This window comes from Homo sapiens, chromosome 2, assembly GCF_000001405.40.
Source record: "Homo sapiens chromosome 2, GRCh38.p14 Primary Assembly".
Taxonomy (NCBI): domain Eukaryota; kingdom Metazoa; phylum Chordata; class Mammalia; order Primates; family Hominidae; genus Homo; species Homo sapiens.
The window spans coordinates 75011269-75034837 of record NC_000002.12 but is presented as its reverse complement, the minus strand read 5'-3'; the positions used below and the strand labels follow the sequence as shown (position 1 = coordinate 75034837).

Below are 23569 nucleotides of genomic sequence, written 5' to 3'. Positions count from 1 at the left end.
ACCATGCCATTGCACTCTAGCCTGGGTGACAGAGTGAAACTCTGTCTCAAAAAAAAAAGGAAAAAAAAAAAGAATTCATCCCAGAAGCAGCTATCTTAGTACATATGCACCTATTCAGTGCCCTTTGCTGTAATATGAATACATTATTTAAGGGAAATATTTTATTTATAAAATATTTTAACCTTAAGCATGCATGTGTTGCTAGGGGTCAGAGGAACAAAGAATTATGCAACTATCACACTCTGTTTCCTCTGGCAAATGAGTACAGCTGCTCATAAGAGTCAACATATAAGAAAATAATAATAATAATAATGTATTCAGAATAAAAAGGTTTATTACAACTCTCTTATCTAATGGGATATGATATTGTCAGTGGGCGTCAAGCAATGGGTCTAGAAATGCCAAATATTTTATTTTATTTATTTTTTGAGATAAAGTCTCACTCTGTTGCCCAGGCTAGAGTGCAGTGGCATGATCTCAGCTCACTAGAGCCTCCACCTTCCAGGCTCAAGCGAGTCTCCTGCCTCAGCCTCCCAAGTAGCTAGGATTACAGGTGTGAACCACAACACCCAGCTGATTTTTTGTATTTTTAGTAGAGACGGGGTTTCACCACGTTGGCGAGGCTGGTCTTGAACTCCCGATCTCAGGTGATCCACCCACCTTTGCCTCCCAAAGTGCTGGGATTACAGGTGTGAGCCACTGTGCCTGGCCAAGTATTGCATTTTAGCAGCTATGGTGACCACAGAAATGTGGTCATATGACACTTAAAATTTCTTGAGACATGTGGTTTAAAGCTTAATAACAAATGGCATTTACTATTTGAATTTCATCAAAAAAGAAACTTTAAACACAAAGTAATTGCACTTCTTTCTGTGTCTCTCATCAGACTTTTCTTAGCCAATTCCTGCTGTAGTTCCATGCAGACCTAGAACTCAGAATGACGTGAACCCCTTTATCACTCTAATGGTTCTAGCCATCCTCAGCAATGGTGCTTGCAATCTAAATTTTGATTGCTCAGAATCTCGGACTTTATTAGAGTTCCAAAAGAGTTTTAATTACTTCCTTAAAAGTTTATGCTTCAACTGATGAGGATGATTTATTATGAACTTGTAATTTAAGAAAAAAAACTGTCAGTTTGTTAAATTTACTTCCTCTTAAACCTCTGTGCTCAGAATGCTTGATTAGGATCTAGGAATTTGTATCTGGTTTAAAGAATTTTTTAATCTAACAAAATACTCCAGATTTTCATTCTTTTTCTTTTCTTTTTAATTCCTCTCCTTAAAGCAAAAGGCACACCTGTAGCCTTTGGTTTAGGAGGTGTAAGAAGTATCTGCATCCAGAAAGAATGAGTAAGGCTCTGTTCATCCCACCCCTTCTCTATAGACCAGCATTTCTCAACTCCAGTGTGTGTGTAAATAACGTGAACATCTGGTTAAACTGCAACATCTGATGCAGTAGATTCATGATAGGACCTGAGATGTGATTTTCTAACAGCTCCCAGGTGATGCTGCTGGAGCTGCCTCACAGACCACACTTAGAAAAGTGAGGAGCTGTAGGATCTGGAGCACTGCACAACACATGCAACTGTAAATTTACGAGTAGCCACAATAAAAAATTAAGAAGAAGTAGGCAGAAATAATTTAACAATATGTTTATTTAACCTATCAAAATATTATTTCAACATGTGATCAATTTAAACATTATTAATGAGATATTTACATTTTTTTCATTCTAAATCTTCAAAATCCAGTGTGGATTTGTCTTAGTCCATTTTATATTTCTGTAACAGAATATGACAGACTAGATAATTTATAATAAACAGAAATTTATTTGGCTCACAGTTTTAGAGTCTGGGAAATCCAAAAGGATGGCACCAGCATCTGGCAAGGGCCTTCATGCTGTGTCATCCCACGACAAAAGGTGGAAAGATGAGAGAGGGTGAGAGACAGGAGAGGGCCAAACTTTCATAACAAACTCACTCCTGTGATAATGACATTGCTCCATTCATGAGGGCAGAGTTGTCACGACAATCATTTCTTATTAGCCCCATCTCCCAACACTGTTGCACTGGGGATTAAATTGCTACCACACGAACTTTGTGAACATGTTCAAATCATAATGGTATTTTACATTTACAGCACATCTTAAACTACACTAACCACATTTCAAGTGCTCAGTGCTCACATGTGGCTAGTGGCTGCTGTATCGAACAGTGTAGGTCTAGAGGGTCTCACTGTTTCCTTGAAGAAATTCTGTCCAATAACTTTTGAGTGTTACAGAAGTCTGTGAATGTCAGGATGTGAGATCACCCAAGATGACTATCTTTAGAGTGAGGGCTGCACCTAAGCTGAAAATGGCAGTTCTAATTTGAAAGATGAGTTTATTCAAAAGCAATACAGCCTCCCTGGGTGGCAAAAGCCTCTTGTGCATTGGCCACAGACTTAGCACTGTCTTCTTTGCCTTGGCACTTCCTGGTTGCAAGTTAAACAAGGCCCAGGGGTAAGAGAAGGCACAGAAGTTTTGAGGCCTGTAAGCAGTTTAAGGGGCTAGGTCAAAATGTATGAGATGGGAAGTAATAAGCCAGGATACAAGCAGAGACCAGGTAGTACAAGTCCTAGAAATCCTCACTTAGGGGTTTGAATTTTATTTAAGAGCAATGAGGAACCATTCAAAGGTTTTAAACAGAGAAATATGATCAGGCTTTCATTTGACTTATTTATTTATTTATTTATTTATTTATTTATTTATTTATTTGAGATAGGGCCCCAGTCTTTTGCCTAGGCTGCAGTGCAGCAAAGTGATCATAACTCACCGCAACCTCAAACTCCTGGGCTCAAGTGATCCTCCTGCCTCGGCCTCCCAAAGCACTGGGATTACAGACCTAAGCCACCGTGCCCAGTCCAGGTTTTCATCTTAGAAAGATCTGTTAGCAACAATGGAAACAATTTCTGAACGAAGACAAGATTGAAGGCAAGGAGACTAGTTAGAAAACTTTTTCAGAAATCCCAGTAAAAGATGATAATGGCCTGAGTTAGGACACTAGTTCTGAGATTGGAATAAAAAGACAAAAAAATTTTATTTATACTTTGGTGATAGATTAGCGAAAGAAAAATGATGAGAGAAGAATCAGGGATGATGCTCACATATATCAGACAGGACCTAAAACAGAAAATCAAATTAGAACATCAAGAGGATTAATAAAGGCATTGTTGAGAGAGGTGTGGACAGGGTGTAGGGGAGCCACAGAGATCAAGCAGTCCCCAGAGGTGGAGCTTATACCACCCATAGGCCTGAAGGCACAAGCGAAAGCAGCAGTTACTTGACCTAGAAAGACGGCGTTGTGTAACAAGGGCTGCCATGAGAGAAACAGTGACCTCTGGTTGAACAACACAGCCAAAGAGAGGCAAACCAGCAGCATGAGCCTGCGGGAAAAATATCCAGTTCTCACTCTCCTCCCTTCTTCTTATTTCTTTATAGGACTCCCCATTGGCTGACCCCTCCCAGAAGCCAGAAAGCAAGGGAGTCCTTTGGTGTGGTCCATATAGCACCCACCTGGATGCAGAAGAGGATAAAGACAGAGAGGCTCTGGAGAGGTAACGGAAGATATCTGGCAAGCCAGTTTTCTGGCCGAGGTGGCTGTGTGGAGCCATTTGTTGAGATAGAGGACAGCAGGATGCTGGTGTGGAAGGAAGAGGGTTATCGTGTGTCTCAGACTCACACTCATCCCTGGAATCTCTTTCTAGTTGATGTGATCTTGCAACCCCCAATCCTCAACTCTTTCTGTTAAGACCCCCAAAAAAGAAGGGAGACTCACCATGAACTTGTAACAGCTCCTTATGGTCTCCCTGATTGCTTTCCAGCTCTACAATCCATTCTCAACACACCTCTGCAAATATCAATCAGGTCATGTTTTGATTGCCTTGCTTAAAGGCCTTCAGTGGTTTCCCACTGCTCTCAGAATAAAATCCAAACTCTCAGCCACAACCCACAAGGTGCTGTAGATCTGGGCTCTGCCCTGCCTTTGACCAATCTTTCACCCACTCACCCCATACTGTCTTCTCTCCAACCCCCACTCACTATGGGGTGTACTTCTCCCAGATCCCCATACGTGGGCAGTGGGTTCCCTCTCAGCTCCCCATTAGCTCTCTGGGGAGTACTCCCAGACCCTACCAAAGTAGGAGCTCCCCCATCCCAGCTTCCCTAGCACTTATTATGACATGAAATTGTCTTACTTTTTACTCTCTTCTTCCAGTAGGAAAAAAAGCTCCAGTATATACCTAGGTATCTTGCCAGTCTTATAATTGCTGTTATCCTCCAGCTAGAAAAGGGCCTGGCCCATAGCTAGCACTCAAAAAATACACGGTACATTGACCACAAGTATGAATGAGTACAAAATGCCAGTCTCACAAATGGCTCATCTCAGAGGAAGCAAGTGGGTTTCCTACTCTGACTCTGAGAGCTGTACAGCTAGGACCTGAGCTGGGTGCAGGGCCTAGGCCTCCATGAAGACCCAGGGCCATGTATGCATGATCTAGTGCATGATCTGCACGTGAGGTTTTCATATACATGAACATATACCTGTGGAAATTTAAAGAAAGGAGAATATGTTAAATTAAATACTACCCTTCATGCACATTACCAATACCCCCACCTCAGAGGTAACACTAGTAACAGGTCCCTGTGCAGTCCTCCCTACTCTACACTTAAATACATACACAATATACATATACACACATACACATGGTATATATTATACATATATATATAAGCTATGTATATATAAAGTATTTATATATATACTTATCTACTTCTGCTTTTAAAATACAGATATATACTTTAAATGTATACACATGTCTATGGATACATGTATATTTAAATACAAGCATATATATACTTCTCTACTTCTACATTTAAATATATAAATAGCTTGGCTTTTTTGTGTAAACAGAAACATCCTATTTGAATTTTATCCTGTGGCCCTTTCACTAAACAATATGTCTAAAATATATTTTTATATCAGTACAAACAGATTTATCACTGTTTAATTGCCACGTAACATCAAGACTTCACAAATTATTTAATCACCCCCCTCTGGGTAAATATGTAGGTTATTTGCTCCTTGCGCACAAGTACAATTATCTCTTCATGGTGTAAACAGCATTTGTGGGTGAGAATGGAAACAGGCATGAGATTTGCCTCCTGAGTTAGAAATGGATGGCCAATTCCACTTCCCCCATCTCCCAACAAACCCAATGCTTAACAGAATTCTGGGATGGCTGCTATATTTGCCATTTCCCCACCCCAATCCAGCTAGCTCTTCTCCATTTTCCTTTGGGGAGATTTTGAGGGGAAGGGAGAGGGTACATGAGCCCAGCTGGCCCCAAGACACAATTTGCAGTGCAAAAAAAAAAAAAAAATTAAGGGCACTTGCTCAACAGTTATTAAGAGTTTCAAGTTTAATGCTGTGCATTAAACTAAGCAGGGGCCTTTTGAAGACAGGTACACACCCCTGAAGCCAGCCCTGGTTAGCCTGTTGGATTCTTGAGAGGAGAGCCACAGTGGGGAAAGCAGGGGAGCTAAGTCACCTCCTGCACACAGCTCTGCAGAGACATCCACTCATTCCTGCAACCAGATCCCCAGGACCACCTGGCCTCTGCCCTTTCCTTTCCAAGGCTTGGTTGTCTATTCTCCGGCTTTGCCTATAATTCTGTGAGCGCTCACCTCATTCCAAAACTTTCTTTCGGTTTTCTTTTGTTTTTCTTTGCAAGTTCCTGTGGCTTGCACTAATTGACATGGGAAGTCAACAAGTGATTCCCATTTATTGGGCGTATTTTTATACTAGACTTAGGGGATGAAGCAGTGAACACTCAGCAAGATCCCTGCTTTCATAGAGCCTCCCTAATGTAACACAAAAACAGTAAGTCAATGAATAAATAAATAATTTCAAACAGTAAAAGGTACTAGGAAGAAAATAAACAGGATGATATGACAGAGGGTATCTCAGGAGAGGAGTACTCCCAGTTCAGGGCCTTGGTACCAGCTGTTCCCTCTCTGGGAACACCATTTCCCAGACATTCCCTTTGCTCACTCTCTCAGCTTACCCATTTCCTACTCAACTGTCATCTTATCAAGGTAGCTTCCTCTAACAACCCTATTAAAATGGCCCTGGCTCCAATTCCTGTTCTTATTTCTTCTCCCCTGATTCTGCTTTCATTTAATTCATAGTATTTGTCACTACTTGATGCACTGTATACTTATTTTTTTACTTTTGAACTATCTGACTCCGCCCGACCTTATGGGGACAGTCCATAGAGAAGAGGGGTTTCATCTTTGTTCACGGCTGCACCATTGCACTGAGAACAGCACATGGCGCTGAGTAGACACTCAACAAATATTTGTTGAGTGAATAAATGTGAAAGTGAATGACTGAGAGTGGTCAGAGAAGGTCTGTCTGAGAAAGCAACTTTAAGGCTGAAACCTAATGAGGAGAAGGAGATGGCCACGTGTAGAATGATCTGTGCAAAGGGAGCAGCAAGTGTAAAAACACAGCGATGGAAATGTGGTTCTTGTGTTTGCAGGACAGAAAGACAATGTCAGCATCCATTTCACCCTGACTTGAGGTGAAAAGAGGCTTAAGGACAACTATGGTATAACAGGCCACTGGAGCTCAGACCACCTGCAGAGTTCTACCCACTGCTGTCCTCTGGGTCCACAGGTGGTCATCTACCAGTCTCTGGTGGCAGTGCCAGAGCCCCCTGGCTGCCCCAGGTTGTGACGGCAGCCGGTGTGAGGTCAGGGGCCTGACTGTGGGCAGCAGGTATGGCAGCTGGAGGCTGGCTGGATGCAGGGACAATGAGATGGTAAATGCCTGCCAATCAGGGTGGTGCTACCAGAACCTCACAGTTCTTAGAGGATGGAAGGTGCTGCTTGAGATGAGTGAGGCAGATGGGGTTTAGAACATGATGGATCACCGAAGAAACCATAGGCAGAGAGGTGCAAAGGAGTGTCTATGGCACATGGTGGTGCTTCTGAAACCTCAGGTCCATCCTGTGTTGGTACAAAATAGGGTGTTTTATAAGCAAGAAAGTAGCTGGTACGTGACGACACCATCAACAGGACTGGCTAGTACTAGGCACAGTGCAGCCAGTTCTCTCTCCTTCCACCATGACAGAGGTCTCTTCTCAGTCATAGCACTCTGCTGTTGTTGAGCCCAGAAACTGACCCAAAACCCCTCACAATGCAGCATTCCAGGCAGTCACCACTAACTGATCGGAGTTGGCATGCAACACGTACTTGCCAATCCTAACCTACAGGCTGATGCCCAGAAGTCACCAGGGCAGAGTTTCAAGTGCCTCACTGGGAATTTACAAAAAGAGGAGTCTTTCTACCTATAGATCTGCAAACCCAATTTTGCAGCTTTAAGCTTCTTTCTTGAACTATAACAAACCTACAGGAAGGTATACAGATTGTAAGGCCACAGCTTGTGAATTATCACAAAATGACCACACAGCCACTCAAATCAAGAAATAGAGTATTACCAACACCTAGGACCTCCCCTCAGCCCCTGCCAATCACTTCAACATCTCTCCTCCCAAGGGGAACTACTATCCTGACTTCAAACACCATAAATAAGTTCTGCCTAATTTCAACTTTGTATAAATAAAAGCAGACAGTATGCACTTGTTTGTGTTTGGCTTTTTTCAGTCATTATATTTGTGAGAGTCATCCATGTTGCTGGGGGGAGGTACTACTGTTAGAATATATAAGGCCTTGGGCCAGGTGCAATGGCTCACGCCTATAATCCCAGCACTGTGGGAGGCCAAGGCGGGCAAATCACCTGAGGTCAGGAGTTTGAGACCAGCCTGGCCAACATGGTAAAACCCCAACTCTACTAATAATACAAAAATTCGCTGGGCTTGGTGGCGGGCATCTGTAATCCCAGCTACTAGGGAGGCTGAGGCATTAGAATCGCTGGAACAGGAGGTGGAGATAGCAGTGAGCTGAGTTTGCGCCACAGCACTCCAGCCTTGGTAACAGAGTGAAACTGTGTCTCAAAACAAAAACAAACAAACAAACAACAACAACAAAACTATATATATATGGCCTTGGAGGCCAATCTAAGGACTTGAGTCTTTACTTCAAGCAAGATGGAAAGCCAGGGTGTTTTTTGAGCAATGGCATGATGCCCTACAATTTATACTTCTAAATGACGGTTCTGACCGAAATGTGAGAATAGCTGGTAGACCCACAACGGCAGAAGCAGGGAGACCAGTCAGGAGGCTCCTGCAATAACCCAGTGAGAGTGATGGGGCTTGGACCAGGGGGACGTACAGAGGTGGAGAGAAGTGGTCTGTTTCCAGCTGTATTTTGAAGGCAGAAACAAGAGGATTTGCTGGTGGACTGCAGTTTGGTGTGAGAGAGAGGGAGGAGTCAATAATGACTGCAGGATTTGGGAACTGAGTAACTGGGGAATGGAGCTACCATCCTCTGAGATAGAGAAGGCTGCAGAACGGGCATATTGGGGTCAGGGGATCAAAAATTCTGTTTGAGGCCTTTCAAGTTAGAGATGCCTAGAGTCATCCAAGTGGAAGCATCACATAGGCAGTTAGTTGTAGGAACCTATGGTCCAGACAGAGGTCAGCATGAAGATGACTCAGCATCAGTCTATAGATGGTATTTAAAGCCACAGAACTTGTGAGATCACAAGGCACATAATAATAGAAAGAAAGGACAACTGCAAGTCTGGCATCTGAGCTGAGCCTAAAGAATGAGCAGGATCCCATAAGTGAAAAAGAAGGAAAAGACAAATGAATGATAATAGCAGTAGTTGGCATTTACTGAATTCCTACTCTGCATCAGGCTCTACACTAAGCACTCACACCATCATCCCATTATCGCATTTAGCCCCCACAGCAACTACATAAAGCAAGAGCTATTTACCATCCCCATATTACAGATGAGAACACTGAGACTTGAAAGAGTCAAATTTGTTCAAGTTCTGGAAGTGATAAATCTGGGCTTGGAATCCAGACAGTCTGGTTCTGAAGTCCTCATGCCTAAATACTATTCTATACTACCTGACCATGGACATTCCAGGCAGGCTAACAAGATGTACAAGTGTATGGAAATGCAAGTATAACCCAGATATCCCCATGAAATATCAAAATAAAATGACCAGCCCTCTATCTCACATAAACACAGGATCTTGCTCACCTTCCTCAATATCCTTAGGGGTTCACTTTTTCCTAGAACTATGTCTTTGGGAGAAGTAGAGGTTTAGCTCATGTCCACTGCTGAGACAGCCCAAGATAGATCTGGTTCTGCTGTTCCCTGACTCTGAACCTGGGCCTCCAACTCTGGATTTCTGATCAGCACACTTTGCTCCTGATCAAAGCTCAGAACCCAAGGCTCATCACCTTCCCATCTTATGTATATCCCCCATGCACATGCCCACCCCCAAAACACTCACACACTACTGCAGCATCCTCAGACTTTTACTAAAAGGAATAATGGTGGGGACAACCTCACAGCACAGAACTAGTAGCCACTTAAAGCTGATTAGGCATCATTATCCTAAAGTTCAGATCAAGAGCAAGACTTGACTAACTGGGCCACAAAGTAAAGATCTGCATAGGAAGGAGGGAGGCACCTGCCTCTCACAGGGCCCTAGGCATTGTGGGGAGGGGAAGAAAGAGAAAGAGTAAAAATTAAGAGATGTATTCTCATTTTACCTCCCCAAGATTTAGCTCAGAAGAGGGAGGAATGCCCCATTTAACACTCACAAACCAGATAAAACTTATTGCTAATTTTGTGTCCACTGCTTGAGTGGTGTAAGACTCATGAAGACTCAGTCAAACACAGACAAAGGAACAGGATCATCATGTTCTCTTCTCGTTTGATGCAACACTTTTTATATATACATTTCAGAAACACACTATAGTTTTGTTTTTTTCGTTAAAATTAACATTTTTCTGTTGTCATTAAAAATTCTGTATAATAATTTTTATATTTTCAAAATATGTCTAGAGGTGTCTACTATAATTTGATTAACTATCACCCGATTTAGGCTTACTTTTTCCATTTTCACTGTTGTAAATAATGAGGTGATAAGCTCTTTGCATTCCTGGTTATTTCCTAGAAGTGAAAAAGTTAAAATTAATGAATACCATTTTCAATAAGTTCTGCCACATTGTTTTGCAGAAATAAAATACTAAAATTAACAATTATAGCAGCAGTGGATGAATGAACCGATTTCACCAAAACCTTATGATCATTTATTCAACAAATGTTTATCAAAGGTCTGTTATGAGCTAGTCATTATTCTGCATGCGGGGGATATGTTGATAAATGAGACACAAAACATCTCTTTTCTCAGGGAGCTTCAATATAGAATACATCATGTAGCAGTAAGTTCTGTGAAAGAAAATAAAACAGGGTAAAGGGATACAGCAGAGACCTGGCAGCCACCTGGAACAAATCTTACCAGCTGCCTGTTTCTGTAAGTAAAGCTTTATTGAAGCACTGCCACAGCCATTCATTTAAGTATTGTCTGAGACTGCTTTCCTCTGCAATGGTAAAGTTGAGTGGTTGCCATAGAGACCATATGGCCCACAAAGCCCCATGTGTTGGCAGCACCCAGTTTGTTAGAGTAAGACTGGGCCAAAGCATCCTGGGATGCAGTAGTGGTATGGTAGACTAACTGCTGTAACAAATAGACCCCAAAGCGGATGGTAGCTCATACACAACAGGAATTTATTCTTGTTCTCATTACAGTAGTGGATATGGGAATAATAAGCAGGCTCCAATCTATCTGGGTCTTTCAGGGACCCAGAATTGACAAGGCTTTGCTTTCTTCAACACTTGGCTTCAAGGTTATCCTGGGGTTGCCTTCTATTCTGGCCAGCCAGAAGGAACAAAAAACATGATGTATTTCTATGCGGGAGGCTTTTAGGGGCCCAGTCCACAAAAGGCTTACATCAGTTCCACCAACTCTCCATTGGCTGGAACGCAGGCACAGGGTGGCACCTGACTGTGTGGGAAATGTGGTCCATGGCTGCTCAGCACTTCCCAGCATGATGCTTGGAGCAAGCAGGCCATCTCTGTCTGAGAGAGGATACAGCTTCCAATTTTCAACCAGACTTGGCAATCCACTGTGCTTTATTGTGCATTTCTTTGATTAACACTAAAGTTGATATATAAAATGTGTTTCGTTTTGTTTTTCTTTTCTTTTCTTTTGTTTTTGAGTCTGAGTTTCACTCTTGGCGCCCAGTCTGGAGTGCAATGGCGTGATCTCGGCTCACTGCAACCTTTGCCTCCTGGGTTCAAGCGATTCTCCTGCCTCAGCCTCCTGTGTAGCTGGATTTACAGGCATCTACCACCACACCCAACTAATTTTTGTATTTTTAGTAGAGATGGTGTTTCACCATGTTGGCCAGGCTGGTCTCAAACTCCTGACCTCAGGTGATCCCCCCACCTTGGCCTCCCAAAGTGCTGGGAATACAGGCGATATATAAAATGTTTTAGGGCCAGCCCCAGTCATTCACACCTGTAATCCCAGCACTTTGGGAGGCAGAGGCAGGAGGATCACTTGCAGCCAGGAGTTCGAAACCATCCCGGGCAATATAGCAAATCCTTGCTCCCTCTACTCCCCCTGTCTCTAATAAAAAGTGAATAAAGCTTTACAATATATGTATTAGTCATTTATAATTTCTCCTTTCTGAATTTTCCATCTTCTTGTTCTTTGTTCATTGAGATCTCAGAATTTTTTAAATCATTTTTATGAGGGCTTAAATGATTAAAACTTATAATCCCCATTTGTTGTTTTCCTTCTCATTTTTACATCGTTTTTGAAGAGTGGAAAATTTAAAACTTTATGTAATCAATTCTACGTGTTTTTTCTTTGTAATTCCTTCTGTTTTCTACTGGGGGATTTTTTTTTACCTATTTAGAGATTAAATACATAATCTCTTCCTTGCTGGTTTTTTTCAAGTTTTTTTTAAAGCTTTGCATACACTTCTAAGTGAGGTTCTAAGTTAACTGCTTTTGAAAATAGCCAATTTTCTCAACACCAGTTATTAAACAATTCATGTCTTTGGAATAGATTTGTGATGACTCATTTGCTACATTTTAAGCTATTTAGTCTTCTAGAGTGTGCGTCTATTCTTTATCACATGGTCTTAATTCAGTACCATGAAACTTTGTTACATTTTTATAGTCTTTTCATATATTATATTCACATCTAGTAAGGTAAGTCCTTCCTATATTACTTCTTGCTTAAATATTTTAAGAGTATTTCTCATGTTTTAATAATTTTTATCTCATTGCAAAAATAATAAATACGAATTTTTATTTCAAAAATGCAACACGAAAGTAGAAAGCTTTTAGTTAACTTTAGATAATTGTTTAAATTCCTTTTAAATTTCTATCACTATTCTAATTGTGTCTATATGATATCCACAGATTAATTTGGGAAACCAACATCTTCAAAACATAGAAAAAGCTCCCCATTTGTTGTTTTATGGTTTTCAGGAACACTTTTTGACTTTCTTCATATAGATCCAGTGTATTTCTTGTCAATTTTATTCCTAAGTATTTTATAGTTTCATGGTATTTAAATATAATTTTTTTTCTATTTTATTTGTACCTGGTGTTTGTTGGCATGTTGAAAAGCTATTACTTTGTACATAGTTATGTTGTAGCTGGTCATATAGGTTTTCAATTAATTTTCTTACACTTCCTAGAGAAACGATCATATTCTCTAGCAAACAAAATTAATGATCTATTTTTGTAAATAAATTTATAGTTCTTTTTGTGCTGCTTTTCAGTTCTTGCTTCACCACAGCCCCTAGCACAGTGTTGTGTAATCCACAGTCCACAGGGCCCTAGCATTCCATGAATTTGAAAAATGCTGGATCCTTTATCTCCCTCTCGTAGGTTCTCTGCTTACATTGGAGTGTTGAGGGCTTTGAAAAGTCATGTGATAAAGAATCCTAGCTAAACTTATTCAACCTTTCATCACTATTATACATCCACTAATATGCAAAACATCCACTAATATGCCTCAGGACAATGGCAGTCCTGTCTCCAACACCCCCATGCCACAGCCTGTGTTCTCTTATCCTTTCCTACCCAGACCTTCCACAGCCACCACTGCTTGGAAAACCTGTGCTACTGGATTGAAGTTAGGGTAATTCTGCATAATTTCCTAAACAATGCTGAAAAACAGCTGTGATAAAAAGGCATCCTTTGATTCATTAATGTGATGTACAGTATATAGGTAAATCTGCTTGTGTTCTCTTTTTTCTCCTGAACAGACTTGCCAGAAGTTTATATAACTTATTGCTTTTTTTAAGAGCCTACTCTTTGATTTATCAATGCTATACTTTTTGTGGGTGTTAATTCAATAATCACTGTTTTTATATTTATTGTGTTTTCCTCCTACTTTCCTTAAATGTATTTTGCCATCATCTCTTCTAACTTGGGGAGCTAGGTACTTAGTTCATCTATTTTTGTATTTACAACTACATATCAAACTGTATGGAACTTAGCCAAATGCCAACATGCTCCCATTATTAGAGAAAAGAAAGGGAGAAAAAAGATTAACTCATTAAATTTCAGGCTCATTGCTTCTCTCACAGAATCTAATACATTAATTAAACTTTATCTCAAAAAGAGCTAACATAGATAAAAATAGAGAACTACTGGCTTTGTGAAACAACTTTGAAAAACTAATGAGGTGTGGAGAACTGGAACATCCAGAGTCCCTTCAGCTCCAGGCAAATCAAAGTCATGCAACAAGCATAGAAAGAGCTCAGCCAAACTTCATACCCCATCTTCCAGGGCTCTTTTGAAAGTAAAGGTTGGTCTTATATTCAGTTCAAATTTGTCCTACAATTTTGGAGTCTGCTTATTTGGGTTCCTTCCAGAGGCCAATCTTGAGGCAAGAATCCCCAAGCAAAGTATTTTATTGGGGAGGCAATCCCAGATAGCACCATTAGGCGAGTAGGGAAGTGAGATGAGCAAGGAAGGAAGTCAGTGAAAGGATTATTATCAAGCAAGCTAATACATAAGCAACTGGAGCTTGATTCTGCTGTGGAACTCTGAGACCAGTGTAGAGCGTGGGCCTCAGGGTTGTCCCACCCCCAGGGTGAGCGGTTGGGGTATTCACATACACCGACTTCTGTCAATCAGTGGAAGGCTGCTGAGGGTAGGGGCGCTGCTGGCCTGCAGCTCCCACGGGAAAAACCCACAATTTCGGAAATGCAGGCGCTGGCAGTCAGATGTCAGACCAGGGTGCAGTAAAGTGGTAAAGGCGAGGGGATAAGACAGCAGCGGAGAGCGATGGGATGGGGAGTGCCCTGGCAGCCATTATAGGGGCATTGGATGTTCTTCTCTTCAACCAGCCATAAATATCTCACCCAGGCTTGAGAACGTGCCTGGAGTTACTTATGGACTAATTTGCTTTCTGAGAGATATAAAAGGGACTTTTTTCTAGGGTTAACCCATGACCTACTATACTGTCATCATCAGAGATGTGCAACAAAGAAGGAGCACAGGTTGTGTCTGACCGTGGACGCTGTCCAGAGATAGTCAAGCTACGTGCGTGGGAGCAAGGGCTGAGGATGGTAAAGTGAGGAGACGTCAGAGGTCCCTGAGGGTGTTGCTAAAGGGATTCAAACTTTAGGGAGTTGAGATGGACTGGGGAACAGAAAGCACAGAGGAGACAAATTGCACCTTCATGACAATTTTATTGTCTTAATAATTGCTTTCCTCTTCTAGGGAGTACCCTTGCTACAAGATCCTAAACCGTTGTTAAGAAAAATGTCATGTCTCCTCTGTGTAGTTCTATCTGGATGACCTTGAGTCAATTTCTTCACTGCTGAATAGGAAGGGAAATAAAAACTGCTTCACCAGGAGAGTAGTTGTAACAACTGATTAGATGAAAGGAAAGCCTTGTGATTAATAAGTGCTCGCTAATAAAAGTAAGTCCTCTTCACAAGAATTTGTTCAGCTTAATTAATGTGACAATCTGTTCTCCAAAGCACAACATAAATGCAATATAAATAAAGGGGATTTGACCCTACTTGTCATTGCCAATTTCCCAATAGTGGAGAATAATAAAATCTACGTTCCAGTCAGCTCTTTATGCAGATAAATTCACTCTCTGAAATGATACCTTGAAAATTAAAATGCATTCTTATCAATATCATGATCTTTTAATAAATGTAGCTTTCTCCCATTCGTTAGCTGAGTTTTATAAACTACTTACTACAGCCACAGTACAACAGTCACCAATAGTACTGGCCTTTATTTTGCTGTATGGAACTCTGAGTAGATACTATGAAAATGCTTTTCCTCTGCAGAAAATATATTACCTAGGTCATTGTCACCTGTCTGCATTTTTGACAAATGGCTTCCTCAACTAAAACCCTTATATGCTGCCAGGCACGGTGGCTCACACCTGTAATCCCAGCACTTTGGGAGGCCAAGGCGGGCAGATCACCTGAGGTCAGGAGTTCGAGACCAGCCTGGCCAACATGGTGAAACTCCGTCTCTACTAAAAATACAAAAATTAGCTGGGCTTCATGGCAGGCGCCTGTAATCCCAGCTACTAGGGAGACTGAGGCAGGAGAATTGCTTGAACCCAGGAGGCGGAGGTTGCAGTGAGCTGAGATCACGCCATTGTAATCCAGCCTGGGAGGCAAGAGCGAGACTTTGCCTCAAAATAAATAAATAAATAAATAAATAAAACTCTTACATGCCAATTTGCAATTCTGTTTTCCTCCCTATTTCTGGTGACAAACAACAGTGTCCTCATAAAACTCCTTTCCTGATTTCAGCTTAAATGTAGAACCCAGGGAATCACTGTACTAGGCTCAGTATCTATGCCACTCAGGTCTATGCACATGCCTTGCTTTCTGGCCCTAGAAGTAGCTTATGATCATGGAGCCAGGTCACTGCTGCTGCCACCACAGCCACAGGTTGAGAAGCCCCATGCACAGAGCAGACTAAGAAAGATTGCTGCACCTGCAAACCTGCCAACTTCTGGTGACGTAGCCAGGGGTACGGTGAGGTTACACCCCCTAGAGTGACTTTGATCACTGGTAGACAAAGTGGGGTTGGAGCTGGGAGATAACTTCTTTTCCCTTTCTTCTCCAGGTGGACTATTTGGAAACTCGGAAGGTATACTACAAAACCACACAATTAGCTGCCCTTAAGACTCTGAGACCAGATCAATAATATGCCTCCTTATATTTCTTTTCTTTTTTCCTCTTTTCTGTATGTTATGTAGTAAAATGCATATAATACATGTATAAAAATATATATAATACATATAGTTAAGTGGCATAAAATTTGCCATCTTATTTGTAAATGTTTACAATACATCAGTGTCATCTATGCGCACATCATTGTGCAACAGATCTCTAGGACTTTTGCATCTTGCAGAACTGAAACTCTGTTCCCACTGAACAGCAACTCCTCTATCCCCCTCCCTACAGTTCCTGGCAACCACCATTCTGCTTTCTGTTTCCACTTCTGTTTGACTACTTTAGATACCTCAAGTAAGTGGAATCATGCTGTATGTATCTGTCTTTGTGATTGGCTTATTTCACTTAGCCAGTGTCCTTAACGTTCTCAAGGGTTCATCTGTGTTTTTGCCTATCACATAATTTTCTTCTTTTTTAAGGCTGAATAGTATTCCATCCTGTATATATAGCACATTTTCTTTATTCATTTTTCCATCAATGGACCTGTAGGTTGCTTCCATCTCTTGGCTGTTGTGAATAATGCTGCAATGAACACGGGTGTGCAAATAACTCTTTGTGATCCTGTTTTCAATTCCTTTGGATGTGAACCCACACCTCCTTATATTTGCACTGTTTCTTTCCCTACCTCACTTCCTTTTTCCCTCACTCCTGGCCCCTGGGGCCTGTGCCAGTAATGTGCTGGTGAATATTTAATATCTGGCTCTCAAGTGTAGTTCCAATGTAAATGTTGGCTGATATTTTCGTTTAAATTAATAAGTAAGATGAAAGGGAAAGTACAAAGACATGTGACTGAACTGTAATCGTCATGGCATGAACAATTTCTTTGTTGTATTGGACAACAGTTTTCACATTCCGGAAGAACATTTCCATTTTACGTAGTATTCCTAACATAACGGCTCCAAACATGACATGCTTTTAAGTTTAATTTGTAATATTAACATTTTCTTCTTTACTTTCTTAACTCTATACAATCAACAAGACAAATCAAGCCCTGATTTGTAGCCTTTGCCTCTATCTGTGATGTACAGTACTCCCAAAATGTCTGATTTCAACCTAACAACATAATGTTACTGGAAGTGGAGTTGCTCTGATACTACATTTTTTTGGTATATCCATAATAAATGTAAATAACCTCAAAAGCATAGATAATAGAAAAATATAGTCAAATAATTAGGGAGTCATGAGTTTTGGGTATTTATTGCTTTTGTTTTTAATATAATTTCTTCTAATTGTACGTTTATGTAATTTAATTATTAAAAATTAAATGGCTGTGTTTAACAACAGTCTCTGAAAATTAAATGATCAGCTTTTGTGAGGCAGTTCAAGCTAGCTCTAGGACACCACTGGTCTGCATTCCTAAACAAAATATAAAGCCATAAGCTTTTCTTCTCCAGCTTTATTTAGGTAAAATTAACAAATAAAAATTATGTGTAGGCTAGGTGCAGGGGCTCATGCCTGTAATCCCAATACATTGGGAGGCCAAGGTGGGAGGATCACTTGAGGCCCGGAATTTGAGACCAGACTGTGCAATATAGACGACTTCATCTCTACAAAAAATTTAAAAATGAGCCAGTTCGTGATGGGTGCCTGTAGTCCCAGCTACTCAGAAGGCTGAGGCAGGAGGATCACTTGAGTCCAGAAGGTCGAGGCTGCAATGAGTCATGATCATACCACTGCTCTCCAGCATAGCTGGCAATAGAGCAAGACCCTGTCTCAAAAAATAAATAAATAAATAAAACTATATATATTTAAGGGATAAAATGTGATGCTTTGATATGTATATACATTGTGGAATGATTACCACCACTATCACGCTAATTAACATATACGTTATCTTAGTTATTATTGTGTGTAGCAACATTTAAGATTACTCTTTCAGCAAATTTCAAGTATACAATCCAGCATTGGTTACTAGAGTCACTGTACTATGCATTAGACCTCCAGAACTATTCATCCTGCCTAACTAAAACTTTGTACCCTTGACCAACATCTCTGCATTTCTCCCAACTCCCAGCCCCTGGAAACCACCATTCTACTCTTTGCTTCTATAAGTTTGACTTTTTTAGATTCTACCTAACCATGAGATCATGCAGCATTTGTCTTTCTGTGCCTGGCTTATTTAACTTAGCTTAATGTCCTCCAGGTTCATTCATATTGTCACAATAGCAGAATTGTCGTCTTTTTTAAGGCTGAAGAATATTCCGCTGTAGGTATACATGTACACAGTTTCTTAATCCATTCATCCATTGATGGACACTTAGGCTGATTCCACATCTTGGTTATTGTGAGTAATGCTGCAATAAATATGGAAGCACAGATATCTCACTGAGATACTGATTTCATTTCCTTTGAAATACCATAGAAGTGGGATTGCTGGACCATATGGTATTATATGTTTAAATTTTGAGGCACTTCCATACTGTTTTTCATAATAGCTGTACTAATTTGCTTTGCAACCAACTGTGTACACGGGTTCCCTTTTCTCCACATTCTCATCAAGACTTGCTATCTTTTGTCTTTTTGATAACAGCCATTCTAACATGTTTGAGGTGATATCCCATTGTCATTTTGATTTGCGTTTCTCTGATGCTTAGTGACATTGAGCACCTTCTCATATAACTGTTGGCCATTTTTATGTTTTCTTTGGAAAAATGTTTATTTGGGTCCTTTGCCCATTTTTAATCAGGTTATTTGTTTCTTTGCTATTGAATTGTGTAAGTTCCTTAAGTATTTTCGATATTAACCCCTTATCAGATGCATGGCTTACAAATATCTTCTCCCATTCATAGGTTGTCTCTTCACTTAGTTGATTGTTTCATTTCCTGCACAGAAGCAGCTTTTTAGTTTGAAGTAATCCCATTTGGATGTAATCACATCCAAAAAATCATTTCTAAGACCAATATCAAGAAGTCCTATTTTTTTTCTACTAGTTTTACAGTTTGGGGTCTTATGTTTAAGTCTTAATCCACTTCGAATTGAATTTTGTAAATGGTATGAGATAAGGGTCCAGTTTCATTCTTCTGCATGGGGAGATCCAGTTTTCCCAAAACCATTTATTGAAGAAACTATCCTTTCCCCATGTGTGTTCCTGACACCTTTGTCAAAGATTAATGAATCATAATCATGTGAGTTTATTTCTGTGCTTGGCTTTCTGTTCTATTCCACTGACTTATGCATCTGTTTTTATGCCAGTAACATGCTTTTTTGATTACTATAGCTTTGTTGTATATTTTGAAATCAAGTAGTGTGATGCTTCCACTTTTGTTCTTTATGTTCAAGATTGCTTTGGCTACTCTTGGCTTTTCGTGGCTCCGTATAAACTTTAGTATTGTTTTTTCTATTTCTGTGAAAAAATGTCATTAGAACTTTGATAGGGATTGCATTAAATCTGTAGATTGCTTTGGGTAATATAGACACCTGAACAATATTAATTCTTCCAATTCATGAACATAGGATATTTTTCCATTTATTTGTGACTTCTTGGATTTCTGTCATCAGTTCTTTATAGTTTTCAATGTATAGAGCTTTCACCTGCTTGGTTAAATTTATTCCAAAGTTTTTTTATGCTCTTATAAATGGAATCATTTTTTTAATTTCTTTCAAGGGCTAGTTCCTTGTTAGTGTATAGAAACTAATGTATAGTTCATGTATAGCTACTAATTTTTTGTATGTTAATTTTGTATTCTGCCACTTTACTTAATTTGTTTATTAGTTCTAGTAGCTTGGGGGTAGAGCTTTTCTGGGTTTTCTATATATAAGATCATGCCATCTGCAAGCAGAGAAAATTTTAGTTTTTCTTTTCCAATTTGGATGCCTTTTATTTCTTTTTCTTGCCTAATTGCTCTGGTTAGGCCTTCAATACTACATTAAAGAAGATGTGACCAAAGTGGGCATCATTATCTTTTTCCTGATCTTAGAGGAAAGGCTTTCAGCTTTTTACTGTTGTGTATGGTGTTAGCTGTGGGGTTGTCATATATGGCCTTTATTATGTTGAGGCATATTTCTTCTATATCTCCTTTATTGAACGTTTTTATCATAAAAGGATGCTGAATTTTGTCAAATGTTTTTGCTGTCTCTATTTAGATGATCATATGATTTTTATCCTTCATTTTGTTAATATGGTGTATCACATTTATCAATTTGCATATGTTAAACCATTCTTACATGCTTGGAATAAATCCCACTTGTTCATGGTGTAAGATCCTTTTAAGGTGTTGTTGAATTCAGTTTATTAGTTACACCATAAACTTTTACCTTGGGTTCTGCTTTCTAGGCAAATAGACTATGAGAAATACCCTCAAAACAATTGTGAAACACTTTATTCTTTCTTATTAGTTTAGCCTTTTCTTCCCCCATTTATCTACTTATTAAAAAGGAAAAGAGAGAGAAAAAAAACCCCACAGCACTCAACAGTAGCCAAAACCCTCATAATCCTCCTCAAATATTTTATTCTTCATAAAGCCCCTGGAACCTTTATACCATTCTGAGGCAAAGAAGGGTTGAAGGAGAAAGCCCTACAGTACAATTCCCCTCTCATCCAACAGGATGGGGACTCAGAGTTGGTTTTATTTTATTTAAATTTACAAGGTTGTGCCTTTGTTCACAGAGCACAGCCCCCTCCTGGTCTGTCCCTGCTTCCATCACTTAACCCCATAACAAACAGGGAGGGTGGCAGGGGACTATCAGAGAGCCATAAAGGAGGAATGCCAAAATTAAGACTGTGTCCCCTCCCATTTGGAAATGTTGGTCCTTGGATTTTCCTCTCATGATCAAATCATCTCCATTGGAAATCTTGTTGACCCCTTGTAAGGTGCAACCCATTCGTGAGCAGTGCAAGATTCCACACTCTCACATTTTTATCACAAAATATCTCTAGGATGTCCACATGAATTCCCCAATCCTGGCCCTCAGAAGATGATGAGATGAGGAGCAAATTTTGTAAATTTCAGAGAATGCCACATTCTCTGAAGCCCTCCTGCCTGTCAGTGCCCAGACTCCCACTGCATGCCTTTGCCACCAGTTGCTAATTGCCTGCTCCTGTACTTGCATTTCAGAAGGTGGCCTGTTGCTCACTCAGCAACTCCAGACCAGCTTCAGACTGGGAAAGCCAGTATACATTTCTCCTGTCAGGTGGACTAAATCACATGTTCTTCAATCACATCTGAAACCTTTCCAATTTAATTTTTTCTTGGGTACTCTCTCTCAGCCCTAGGGTACTATATAGTTTCCTTATATCTTATAGTGATTCTTTTTTTTTTTTTTTTCACTCTGTCGCCCAGGCTGGAGTGCAGTGACACAATCTCAGCTCATCGCCTCCTGCGTTCAAGCGATTCTCCTCTCTCAGCATCCCCAGTAACTGGGACAAGAGGCATGCGCCTCCCAGCTAATTTTTGTAGTTTTTGTAGGGACGGAGTTTCACCATGTTGGCCAGGCTGGTCTCGAACTCCTGACCTCAAGTGATCCACCCACCTCGGCCTGCCAAAGTGCTGGGATTACAGGTGCAAGCCACCGTGCCCAGCCTCTTTTTATCATATTTAATAATTCTCATATTAAGCTTCTGCTTAAGCTACTGTGTTTTACATCACTTGATTTGATCTAGACTGCTACAACTAAGAACAACTTCATCTTTTCCTAAGAATTGGTGAGGGCTGGAGACTCAGGCCATCCCTGAGAGGTGGGTCAGGAGGAAATTCCAGTTCTGCAGGCAGCAGCAGATCCTGAAGGCACCCTCTCTAGCCAGCACCTACTTTTAACACGGACCTTCTGCCACATCACAACCTTTTCAGGTGGATGCAGCTTGCTAGGTATGAACATAGCCACAGAGCTCAGTACCCCATTCTTACTGCCACACTATTTCTCTTCCACTCCCATACAAAAATCCTATATCCCTTAAAACTCACACCACAGGTTTTCATCTCCCTCTGGATGTGAGGAAAGGAGATCATCTTCTGACATCTCTCACCCACTGAGCATCCAGAGTTGTCAGCTGATCTGACCGATTACTTTGGGAAACCTTTCTTCTTTCACCTCTCTGAGTACATCCTTTCTTTGGCCCTTGATTTGTAACATTTCCCACATCCCAATACAGAAAAGTGGTTAAGGGTGTGGGCTCTCCAGCCTATGTGTGTGGTTCGAGCCCCACCTCGGACTAGCTCTGTGACTTTAGATACGCTACTTCACTTCTCTCTGCCTCAGTGCTTTCACACGTGTAGTGGGTAAGAAATAGTAGCACCTATATCATGGGACTGGTAGAGGAGTTAATGCATTTAAAGTACTTTGATTTCCTGGCCCACAAGTGCCCAGTAAGTTTAGCTAACATTGTGATTCATTTTATAATCATCTTCATGGGTAGTTTCGTTTTGTTTGTTTTGTTTTGTTTTGTTTGAGATGGAGTCTGGCTCTGTCACCCAGGCTCGAGTGCAGTAGCACGATCTCGGCTCACTGCAACCTTCACCTCCTGGGTTCAAGCAATTCTCCTGCCTCAGCCTCCAGAGTAGCTGGGATTACAGGCATGCACCACCACACCCGGCTAATTTTTTGTATTTTTAGTGGAGACAGGGTTTCACCATGTTGGCCAGGTTGGTCCTGAACTCCTGATCTCAGGTGATCCACCCTCCTTGGCCTCCCAAAGTGCTAGGATTACAGATGTGAGCCACCATGCCCGGCCTTCATGGGCATTTTTATCATTCATATAGGTGAACCATTCCACACATCAGCCTTACAGTTTGACTATCTTAGCTCTATAGATTCCCCCACCCCACTCTGATTAGGCTGCCATAACAAAATACCACAGATTGAGTGGCTTAAACAACAGACACTTATTTGCCCACAGCTCTGGAGGCTAGAAGTCCATGATCAAGATGCGAACCAATTTGGTTTCTGGTGAAGGCTCTCTTCCTGGCTTATAGCTGGCCATCTTCTCTCTCTGCCCTTGTATGGCCTTTCCTCTGTGCATGTGGGGAGAGAGAGAGAGCTCTTGAGTGTCTCTTTCTCTATAAGAACTTTATGTTTCCAGGCTGGGAGCAGTGGCTCACGCCTGTAATCCCAGCATTTTGGGAGGCCAAGGCAGGCGGATCACGAGGTCAGGAGATCGAGACCATACTGGCTAACACGGTGAAACCCATCTTTACTAGAAATACAAATAAATTAGCCGGGCATGGGGGCAGGCACCTGTAGTCCCAGCTACTCGGGAGGCTGAGGCAGGAGAATGGCGTGAACCCGGGAGGCAGAGCTTGTAGTGAGCCGAGATTGCACCACTGCACTCCAGCCTGGGCAACAGAGCTAGACTCCGTCTCAAAAAA

General features: G+C 40.9%; 1 long non-coding RNA gene across 1 annotated transcript; it reads right to left on the bottom strand.

Moving 5' to 3' along the window:
• Positions 1–1636: 1636 nt before the first annotated feature.
• Positions 1637–23349, bottom strand: LOC124907850 (uncharacterized). The gene is made up of 2 exons (XR_007087110.1): positions 10073–23349; positions 1637–4578 (listed from the first exon to the last, which is right to left on the bottom strand). It is a non-coding gene; the product is annotated as an uncharacterized LOC124907850 (long non-coding RNA).
• Between the last annotated feature and the right edge of the window lie 220 nt (positions 23350–23569).